This window comes from Homo sapiens, chromosome 21 (assembly GCF_000001405.40).
Source record: "Homo sapiens chromosome 21, GRCh38.p14 Primary Assembly".
In the NCBI taxonomy this organism is placed as follows: Eukaryota; Metazoa; Chordata; class Mammalia; order Primates; family Hominidae; genus Homo; species Homo sapiens.
The window spans coordinates 10,058,200-10,070,727 of record NC_000021.9 but is presented as its reverse complement, the minus strand read 5'-3'; the positions used below and the strand labels follow the sequence as shown (position 1 = coordinate 10,070,727).

Below are 12,528 nucleotides of genomic sequence, written 5' to 3'. Positions count from 1 at the left end.
ATAAACAATTTTGTACATTTCCTGAATATGTTTATGTGTTCCTGTTGGATGATAGTAGCAGAATTATTGGTCACAGGGTATGCATATACTTAATTTTAACAGATAAGGTCAAATACTTTCCAAATTCATTTTAACAATTACAGTCAACCTGCATTGTTTTAGAGCCCCGATTGCAGGGTCATTTTGGATTAGTTTGTCTTTCTCTTGTTGATTTTAATGGATAGTGTTAGGCTGTAAATAAAGTTATTTATGCATAGTAAGAACTTTCTCAACAAATTTTACTCAGACTTCTGCTCTACGCTAAGAACTAGCTCTGGAAATTAATTCACAGAAAGAACATGGTTAGGGGCCATCCTGAGGGATTTACCTCACTAGGGATATATATTTACATTTCAAGAGAAGATGAGACCCAGTAGATGCATCCCAGAAGTTACAAAGCTGGAGACTCTAGTGTTATCTTTCCCCTAGAGAGATTTATTTTTATCCAAATGGTTAAAGTAAGAACTCAGTTTTTTTTCCGTTTTGTGACTATGGAGACACACTCAGAAGGGGGTCAAGAGCAACTGGGTCACTCTTCCACAAAAACGCTCAGGTTCTTTTTTCCAGAGTTCTTTGCCTACAGCAGATCCCCTTACATGTAGGACATCTGGTTCTCACCACATCACCACCACGGTAAGAATTAGTGGAAAGGAGAGCTAGGTTAAGGGCAGCTGTTTCTTTCCTTCTCTGCAGCCTCTGGTACCAAGTACTGCATGACATGTGTCTCACAACATTCTCTGCCTCTGCACCTCTGTGCTACGACACTGGATGAATCTATGGAGTGAGCAATAGAAAGTCTCTGAACTGCCAGAAACAACTTCATTTTACATGGAAGTGGCTTTAAATCAAACACATTAACCTCAATGAACTGAAATTAAATATGTCTCTATTCAACTTCCCCTTAGCTGAATACTAAAAGTGTTGTAGGCTGGACCCGCACTACCTGACAGGGAGATAAATGACTAAAGGCAAATGGGAGTCAAAACAGGTGTGGCTTTTCTTATTTTTAATTAAGCATCTTACACAGCAAATTTTGCAAAACTCATATGACCCCGAGAAAGACCCATACATATGAAAGGTCTTAAAGATTTAACTTTCTTAGCTTTAACGTAAGCTTTCCACTGGATTTTCCCATTACACTCATTCCATAAAGAAATGAAATAATCATATATCTCATTATATAATTATACTAAATTGATCTCAACACATTTTCTTAGCAATATATACCAACATTGTTTCCAATATTGTTTATTACAAATGATGCTACAGTTGAAATCTTTATATCTGAACGCTTGTGTGTGTGTGTGTGTGTGTGTGTGTGTGTGTGTGTACCTATTCTGTGTATAATACTGATTTTATTTATTTGTATAGGCCTGGAAGTGGAAATACTGTGACATAAAATAGAGGCACAGCAAATTATTCAAGATGTCGACAAACAGCATTGTTTCCAAGTTTTTGTTCCCTTACAATCCTTGCCATTGGCCAATTTCTCAAAATCCCGTGTTGCTTAACATTTAGTAGCTTAGTAAATATTTTAAATCTCAGAGATTTTACCCAACTGATACCAGGGTTTTTAAAATTTGTTTATATAGATTAAGCGTCTTTGAAGAAATAACAGTATGCAAAAAATATGGTCGCTATTCTTCATGTTAAAACTATCTTAAACACTTTTCCAGAGGAAAAAATAACAAAATAGAAACCAATGAAGGTCTTTTGCTTGGTGATTACATATATTGATTACCTGTGTAAGTTAAACAGATTGGGAAAAGGAAATATCCAAAATTGTGCCTAGATTATATCATGACATCATGTATATATGTAAATAAGTTAATTTTTGCAATCGCAACATAGAGAAAAATGTTATTTTAAATGAAAAAAATAAATAGAACATAAAGTAATATTTCAGCATATTAAATTTAGGAGTAAAAACCTTTGACATCCCTGAAAATCTTTGGTAAAAAGTCCAGATTATGATAACTTGGCTTTAATGAACTAGGAAATAGATGGATAATAGCACACACATTTTTAGCATTGTAGGGATTATTTTCACTGGTTGTAGGATCAACAAACTTGGTTTAAATAATGGTTCTGAGAATTTAATTAATTAATTTAATACACTTTTGTTAGGAAAATAAATTCATTTCTAGACACAGGATATTTTACAATTGGATCGTATTTCAAAAAAAGAATCACTGTGTTTTTAATGAACAAATGTCACATAAAGAAGTCTTTTCAAAAAGTGCTTCAAAAACTTAAATTTGAAATATATGCAACGGATCCACAAGGTATCTAATAATTTTTATTTTTACCAAGCTCATGAGTAAGTTACTTAGCCCTGAAACAGTTTCGGAGAAAAAAAAAGTGTTTTAGTTTCTTTATCTGTAAAATATTTATGTGGCAAATGATTGAGCAAATATATAAATTTAAGCAGATTGATCCTAGAACTTGTTGTGTTTAAGAATATGGATTATTGAGAAGTACTTCACCATAGTATTTATCACATAGTATGTCCTAATTTAAGATTAAGTATGGTTGTAATCATAATATTTTGAAAATTCTTTTGAAAACTGTTTTAATGAATTATAGATTGAACACTGAGATAAGATGGAGTTATCCATGATCTTTAAGACAGCAAAATTAGGTCTTGAAATTAAAATTGAAATGAATATAATACACATATATTGATTTTATGTCGATGTTTTATAATCAAATCTGATTAGAAAAAGGAAATTGGTATAAAGGTTCTCCACATCTTCTCAGTCACCCAACTTCATTTTCTAAGGGAATTACATTACGTACTTTTATTTTATTTCTTGTTATATAGCAGTATCTTTTCCTTGATTTCTTGGCTTGCTTCTGCTCTCTTCTGCTATGCCTATCCATCAGTTTCCAGAGCTCAGAAAAACAGTTTTTAACAGCCTAATATATGTATTTGGCAATTTCCTCCCATAACTATGATTTAATATTCATGGCCACATAAAGGGTATAAAATATTTTGCACTTGGTGTATACACATTTTCTTTATATCACTTTATCTTTCATCAATAACTCAATGGAAATCCCATTAAGAGAATATGAATAGCTCTAGTTGGTATTCAATGTCTGCCTAACATTTCATGTTGACAAATTATCATAAACTATTCAATAGAAGAATTTTACTAACAATATATCATTAACATTCTAAAATATTTTTGTATAATCTAGACTTTGGTGGGAACAAACCTTGGAACAAACTGGTTCCAAGGTTTCTTGGAGGGGAGTGGTGAAAAAGAAATGGGGAAATTTATGTTTTTTGAATTTGTCAACTTATTGAGGAGGGGTAAGTAGAGAAATTGACTAATTTGCTAAGACAATAGAAGGTATCTTTATTTCAAATAGTACTTGAAAATTATGCATCTAATTGTGAGGTCAAAAAATTGAAGATACCCCTTAATAAAGAAATAAAGGATAGATCTTCCAAAATAACAAGGATGTAGTGGAATGAATAAAAATGTATCAAGTCAGCAGCAATAAGGTAAAAATATTAGAAAAGTAATGTTAAATAGTTGTCAGATGGAAGTATATATTTGAGCAAATATTTTGTTAAATAGATGACAAAAAGGTAATATTTATACATTACATATATGTGTTTGTATGTATGTATGTATGTATGTATTTTGAGATATAGTCTTGCCTGTCACCCAGGCTGGTATGCAGTGGCACGATCTCGGCTCACTGCAACCTCTGCCTCCCGGGTTCACACAATTCTCCTGCCTCAACCTCCCGAGTAGTTGGAACTGCAGGTGAGCGCCACCATACCTAGCTAATTTTTTTCTTTTTAGTAGAGACGAGGTTTCACCATGTTGGCCAGGCTGGTCTTGAACTCCTGGCCTTGTGATCCGCCTGCCTCAGCCTCTCAAAGTGCTGGGATTACAGGTGTGAGCCACCGTGCCCAGCCTCACAGATATCTTAAAATTCACCTGATAAAGTTAGGAGCCTCAAGAAAAATTAGCAGAGGAAAATAATAGGTAGTTACTATTTAGGGTAAACTAAACTGTTCTAAGGAATAGAAAATAAAAATTCCATGTCTTCAAAAATAATTCTTCCCTCTCAATCTCTCTGAATATCTCATAAGAGTATTCAGGCCACAGAAATAACTACCATTTAGCCACTCAGAGGCTTATAGTAGTTCTACTAACTTTAACATTTGGCAACCAAAATTACTCTAAGAATCATCACCCAAGTCAGACAAACAGGTAAGATAACAAGAAAAAGTGCTTGTATAAGGATTTAAGACTAAGGCTCAGGGACAGCAAATATTCTATTTGCTAAAACTAAGCCACATGCACACACCAAGCAAGAGAGCCAGGGAAGTGGATAGGCACAGGCAGTCAGTCCACAGAAGAATGAATCAAAGTGCTGAACTTTCATAGAAAAAATCTGTTAAGATTCATGGGTGGTAAAGAAAATACAAATTAAAATAACACAGGAATGTCACCAGAAAAACCATCAAATTGGTAGCATTTAAAGATAACTATAGGACTTATTGTTTCTAGTGTTCTCTCATATATTTCTGGTGAAGAATAATTTATTGTAGAGCTTTATGAAACAATCTGACAATTTATATTGCAATTAATTGTACTTATGCCATCTGACCAAACAATGTAACTCCTAGGCTTTTTGCCTATATGACTAAAATCATATGCACAGTAGTGGTTATTACATTCTTTAGCCCAGTAGCCATTAAATTCCTTGTGCCCTTAAAACCTAAAAGTTCACAGAGAGAAGACCTCTTACTGACTTGTAGAATCTCAATACTACTTATCTTGAAATTTCAGTAAGTGTTAGGTAAAAGAGTTCATTTGGGATAATCACACTATGATAGTCTTTAGCTTTTGAATTGGAATCCAAATTTTAGTTTAGAACAGCAAAGTTTGCGCCTAAAGATTTCATGAAGTAAAAATACTAATTGTGATTACATATCTAAATATTTGCACATCTAAAATTGTCTTTTACTCGTAACCAGAATAAATGATACCTTTTTTTTAAGAAAAAAGAAGAGTAATCTATCTAGAAAATGAAAAAATTAGGCTAAAATGGTGACTTAAGTAATTTAAATGGATATAGATTTATAAAATTAAACTATTTCTCAATTTTGAGAGGAAAAAATCAAGGAAATCAAATATACCTTCTCTTTCTTTTGCCAACAGATGTATGCTGTCTTAATTGATGCTTAATGTATTTTTCCATTACATAATTTTAATATTGTAATAATTATAACAACAGATACGAAATGAAATTTCTGTATATTTATGAAAAATGCTAAAATTGTAAAGTAATTTAAATATATAGGTTTAATTTATTCATATGATTTAAAATTTTATGTCATTTTATTTTATTTCTTAATTATTGCTATAATTAAATGTTAATAAAATGAAGTCTTTAAAAATTCTGATTTGGCCTTGCAATATGCGATTAGAACACTTGTAAAAATGCAAACATATAAATAATGCAAAAATAATATTTGAAAAATGTAATCGTTCTTAATGTTATTGAACATCCAAAAGTTATTGACGAAGTATTCAGAAGCATTTTAGATTATTGTAAAATATTATTTAAATTATATTTAATTAAAAAATGATATACATTACTCAGTAAAAAGAAAAATAGATAATCAAGAAAAGCAAAACTGAAAAGATGAAAATGTTTTAATATTCAAGAAGCAATCTTGTCTTTTTTACTGAATTAAGGGCCTTCCCTGCAATAAAATCGATTATGCTCACATAATAAAGGTATATCTTAATAATTTAAGTGTAGAAATAAAATCTGTCATCACTTTCACTTTCATCTGGAAAATAGTACCTCATAAGTTTTTTCTGTTGCAGACTATAAACATAGAAGCAAATTTATTAACTTGGCACTATTATATAAGGTGCATAATGAGAGTTTGTAAAATGGCAAAATAGTTTTTTCTAGTCCTATAATCAATTTATCATCAGAATAGCCTCAGACTCTATACAGATTCATTCTATAAACAGTATTGGTGAAAAATCAGATGTGTTTCTGTTTTCTGTTTGTTTGTTTGAGACTATCATTGTTGAATATACATCAAGCAAAATAGTTAAAGAAAAGCCTTTGGAGTAACGTGGTAAATTCAATAATATGTATATGTGCACACACACAAATACACATCCCAAACAACCACAAGAGGAATAACAAATTTATAACCCAGATGGGCGCGGTGGCTCATGCCTGTAATCCCAGCACTCTGGGAGGCCGAGGCAGGCAGATCACTTGAGGTCAGGAGTGAGACCAGCCTGGCCAACATGGTGAAACTCCATCTCTACTAAAAATGCAAAAAAATTAGCCAGGGCGTGGTGGTGCGCACCTGTCAGCTACTCAGGAGGCTGAGGCAGGAGAATCGCTTAAACCCAGGAGGTGGAGGTTGCAGGGAGTGGAGATTGCACCACTGCACTTCAACCTGGTTGGCAGAGCAAGACTCTGCCTCAAAAAAAAAAATATTATTACCAAAAATCTCACTAATTCTGTACGTCAGCATTTATTAAAATAAGGATAAAAGAGAGCTACTGTAGATATCTCTAAGAAAATAAATAAATGATTATTGAATGTGTAGTTAATCTTCTTTTTGTTTGCCCATTTCTCTTTAGAGCCATGCGCATGAATTGCACTTGCGGGCTGGATTACCAAGGGCTTCTCTGAAATGGCAAAGAAAATAATGTTTGATTTCAAAATGCAATAATAGTAGCTATATGAAAACATGACCTTTGAGAGATTATTCAGCAAATAATATACTTAATGAAACTTGTTTTTTAAGAAATAGATATTTCAGAAAATATGGTACTACATATGATTGTTGCCAAATCATTCTGTATACTTAATGGTTATTCAGCACTTTCTGTTTTATAAAGTACTTTCAAATATATCAGTTCAGTTAGCTAGTACCCAAATCCTTGATGTAATCACTGTCATATAACATACAAGCAAACTGTGTGTAATGAATCACACTGCAGTTGGAGTACAAGAGTAGGCATCAAGAAAGTGGCAGGTGTGTCATTTTGAATAAAGGCTGTTGTGGGAAAGGTTCCTTCAGACAGATCCCTCTCCCTAGGTATTTATGTGGTGAGAAGAGTGGGTGGGGTTTGTGGAGTAGAGTCCGGGGCTTGTGCATCCTTAATTCAAGTAACAGCACTTGAATTAAAGGTTTATCCTAACTATAAAGCTATACATTTTTCTCATGATGTATTTGAATATATTCTTTTTAAGGAAAGAAAAAAATATATAAATTTTCAGGTCCTGAAGTACATGTATGTCACTTATTGCTAGTCTCTTCTGTATTTTATGTGAATGCCACAAACATTTTTAAAATTTTAAAGAAGTAAACATATATGCAACATAGATTTTTAAAATGAGATATATGCCGAAACAAGGCTTTGAGGAGGTATAATGTTCTGAAATGTAATTAGATGACAAATTATTTCTGGTACACATTTCCTAGCACTTATATTTTTCACCCACTCATAAAACAATGTGAAGTAGGTCATACTGAGTCACCAAATTAAACATTCAAATTATTCTACATCTCCAAAAGTAGCCCATAATTAAAAGGAATTTCATATTGGAATAACTGGACCTAATTTGCTTATTCATTAAATTGTGTCCAAGTGTAGTCTCTGAATTATATCAATTAGGGAACGAGAAGGCATACTTAAAAAGAGCTGAATTAACAGTGCAAATAAAGTAACCACTGTGGATACTTTTGAAAATTCTAGTATTAATTTTGTTAGTCAATGCAATGGAAATACATCAGTAGCATAGTAATAAAAAAATTATTTCTTTTTATAGCATCTTTGATAATTATAAAATTAATAAAGATTTATTATTTAAAAACTGAATAATTCCTACATCATTAAAATCACAAGTAACTCCACTGTCTAATTACAAAAACTATTGCGGTTTTTATGTATTTTCTTATCATTTTATTTATTTATAATTGATAGGTGAGTATTAAAATATAGCCTGACATTATTTTATGATTAATAGTTTATTTAAAATATATTATATGATTGTCTATTTAAAATTAAGCCTGTTAAAAATAAAACTATTGATCTTTCCTATCCTCTATTCCCAAATTTGCTCCTCCCAAATTTAAACCCAGGTGAGTAATTCCAACTCTGTTCCTCCCATAGTTCAGGCCAAAACATTGCCAATATCATGGACTTTTGCCTCTAATATACAGGGTTCAAATATATCTTGTTTGCATAGAACAATTTCAATTTATAATTTACATAGTTTATAGTTTAGAACAGCTTCAGCAATAGTTTACACGATACTTTCCTCGCTAATTTCCCTGTTTTCTCTTTTGCTATGCTGTGGTCTATTTTCACAGATCAGTCAAACTGTTACTGCTAATTCTTTAAAGAGGCGATTGCTTTTCTGTTTAAAACCCTTCATGGCTGCCAATTAAATAAACAAAGTTCTTACCATTTTCTAAGAAGCTTTATGTGACCATCTCCCCATGGAGTGTGACCTCATCTCCTCTGCTGTATCACATTGGCATCCTTAGTGGAACCTCATGGGTGTGTTCATACACCAAGGCCTCATTTGCTATTTCTGCTCCCTGAAAATATGTTCTCTCAATTATGCTCTTGGCTCATTCTCTCATAACCACTCATTGTATTCAGATGATACCACCCAGTGAGGCTTTCAGCAACCATCTTGTTCAGTATCCAGCACCTCTTGTGCCCAGAACTCTCTATTCCCCTTCTTTGCCACATTTTTTAGAATAGAACTTAAACCATCTGGCATACAACACATGATACTTTGTGGTATTAATTACTGTTTTTCTCCCAACACTGGAACAACAGCTCTGTGAAGCCAAGACATTCTGAATGTTATTTTCACTATTTTTTCCCCAGTCCCTAGAAATGGGCCTAGAATATACATAGTAGATGCTCAATAATTTGTTGGGGAACAAATGAAAGTTGATCCTCAATAATATTTTATAATGAATAGGCTTACAATTTATGAAAAAGCCATAACTTATTTAGCCATCTCCCTAAATTTGCATGCTTTTGTAAGTAATAATATCATGGTTGTGAAAACAATTATGTGTGTATATACATATATGTATATAGGTATTTTATGGCAATGATATACATACATGTATAGTCTTCTGTAATATTTACAGGTGCTTTTGTTTTCCTTGCATTATGCAGCATATATGATTTTATAGCTAGTATTCTGGATGTCCATGAAACATCAATTAAAAAGAAACTAATATTATTAAATAGCAGACCTGTTAAAGTGGTAGTCAAAATATTCTTTCCCCATTATATACCTCAGAGATTTCTGATGAACCCTTTTGAAACCTAATAGTGGCTGTAATCATAATAAATTTTTTCTAGATAGTTTTACAAACAATTTTTAATCTTCAAAATTCAAGGCTAATGTATGCATATTGAATGATTATGGCATTCATATATAAGCTATGTTTGGAACCAGAACTTACCAGTGCTTATATTTATGTGTAGGTATGATAGACAAAGCATAGGAATAACAAGATATAATTAGTTTACTATTTATTAAAAATATGAATAGAACTGGTTTTGCTCTGTAATTTTTGCTATGATAAACCTTAGCCATGAACATAACCTGCTATTGAGCATGTGCGTCATCCATCTTATGACTCACCAAAAATAGGGAAATGAGTCTAGAACCATCAAAGCAATTGACAACAGAAGTGAGATTTCAGCTTGGATGCATTTTATTATAAAAGTAGTATAATTATATTCAAGAATTTGTTAACCTTTTATCTCACTAAATAAATTTCAATATTCATTATAAATAACAAATTCAAGCATTTAAAATATTATTTATATATTCTTAATTTTTATTGTTTGTTTTAATTACACATGTCAATCCTGTTATGGAATGACATCAACATCCCCTTGGCAAGAGGATATTTTTAAATTTCCACATGTACATTTTAAGAGTTTGATACAACCCTATTTATCCATGATTTTCTCTTTCCTATAATTAGTAATTTTCACTGTAGAAGACTCACTTATAAAAGTGTATAGTATTATCATATTTGGATGATAAACTAAAATTTTGAAATATTTAGAAGCATTGTTATGAACTCATTAAAATTATCAGAATCACTTCATATAAAATGATATTTAATATTTTCTTATACATAAATTAGTGACATTGTTTTATACTTTTAATTTAATTTGATTATGAAAACTTTCTATGTGTTTTTGAATTTGTGTAACCTTAGACAGATTGCTAAGCCCATTTCATCATGCATTAATAGAATAGGATTAGATAATCTCTAAGGGTCCTTGGCTCTAAGATTATATGATTGTAATTAATGGCACTGCAGATCTTGTAGAGGGACATTAAAATGGACCCATACCTGAAGTTACTTTTCAATTGAATTAGTACTTAGGCAGTTGAGACAGTAGAAACAAGGAAGGCAAAACAGTCTTTCATAACAGATCATAATAAATTTGCTAATATTATAGAAAGGTCATTGGAAAGTGTTTGTCCTTTCTTTTTTTTTTAATAGGACCTTCCCATTTTCACTTACAGTTTTGAATACATTTATACATTTCCTTCTTCAAATGTCATTTAAATTAAAAGTGTTTCTATTTTCTCCAGATGGAGTTTCAATGCTCGTAAACATTTACATTAGGAGAGAATATAGTACCTATTATCTAACTTAAGTTGAAAAAGAATGAAACTGTAAAATATATTTACCAAAATAACTAAAGATTTATTTACCTTCGGTAGGCCTCAATTAGTTTACCTTTAAAAAGCATTCATTGATACAAATTTTAAAAATCCATGTAACAGACATCAATCAAATGTGATTTTTCTCCAGTTTATTATTTTCTGCCAGGGGAAATAAAATGCAATAATCACATTTTAAATATACATCTTTTTAAATGATTCTGTTGTTATACATGATTGTTATTCATATTTTTACTATTATTGAATGCCCCTGTACTGACCTTTCCAATTTGATAGTGCAGTAAGAAATAAACTTTTTTTTAATATTGAGAATTGGAAATGACCTGGTAATTTCTTTGTACTAGAGACCACTAATTGTGCATATAATGCATTCTTTCATTTTGTTTAGTAATAGAATCCTAAGTACATATGACCACAAGCAGGAGATTACCTTCTATAGTCTCTTATCAGTGATTAATTTTGATCAAATATAATATGAATTATATTATGAGCATAAATTTAAGTTAATCTCCATAAAGGCAAAGCCGATTGTTTTTACATCTCTTCTTACACATTTTACTGTCTGGAATGCAGAAGTATTGCTGAACTTAGCCATGAGGATGAAACACTAAGATAGGATTATAAAGAGAATACAAGATGAAAATCTCCTGGGGCCTGGGATGAACTCATGGAAAAAACATCCCCACCAACTCTCTTAATTGTTGGAGAGAAATATAAGACTACAATAAGGGTCACTCCTTATACTCATCATTTTTGAGTTAGAGATATTGACAAGTGTATCAAACTATATATTTTCTCCCACAAGACATTGAGGGGCACACTTCTTTTATTCTCCAAAAGTAACAAAAAATGCTTTGGTGTCTAAGTTTTAGCCTGCAAGGACTGTCATAGTGTTGTTTTCAAAGACTTACGTGTTTTATTTCCTTACCTCACTGCAACTTATAAATTTATCTTCTATGCTAACATCATGATAGCATCTAATGGTTCCAAGAGTGAAGATTATCACTAGTTTATGAACCTTTGTATTCCCCAAAAGAGAAAGAGATATTACATAACCAAATTCCAAGTATGATTAACCAAGATTTTTCTAAAATTTTCCACCTCTCAATTCTGTCTACTAATTTGAAATAACTGAACAAAATACATTTGCAACATGATAATTCTTCAAACTCGGCTCTTATACCAAGCAGTACTGATGATTGGGGCATTAACAAAACCAATAAAATTGTTTTGCAAAACAAAAACGAAGTGAAAAATATGCTCAGCTTATCTTACGCAATATTGTTTTCTACATCGAAAATGGCTAGATAACCTTAGAAAAAGTGGCATATACATTATTTACCTAAAAGTTATAGTAATCTGGGTAGAAGCTTAAAGTGATCTATCCTGTCATATAGTTGTCATTAACTAGGATATTAATTATTCTTAAAAGGATGCAAAATTTTTCCAAGGGATGTGCATCTGCAGACAGTTTTAGGGACTATTGTCAAGAACTGTGAAGGATCTGAGCTTACAAGTTAGCCTGCTTCAGTTTTATGGATGCTGGCAGAAGACACATAACTGTTTGGTCAGAGACAGAAAGACTTCCATTATTTGCAGCACAGCACAGAGTTGCACGAGCTTCATCTTTGCTCTGGTTCCTGTTTTCCCTCAAGTTTACTGGAGATGATGACAAGGAGTTCAAGTTGATGCTACACACAGTTTGTGTCATAGATGAAGAACTCCAAGTAAAGG

General features: G+C 31.8%; 1 long non-coding RNA gene across 5 annotated transcripts in view; it reads left to right on the top strand.

Annotated features, from left to right (window-relative positions):
* Window positions 1–12,528, top strand: part of LOC105372733 (uncharacterized) — a 123,425-nt gene that overhangs the window by 48,763 nt on the left and 62,134 nt on the right. The window lies entirely within an intron of this gene.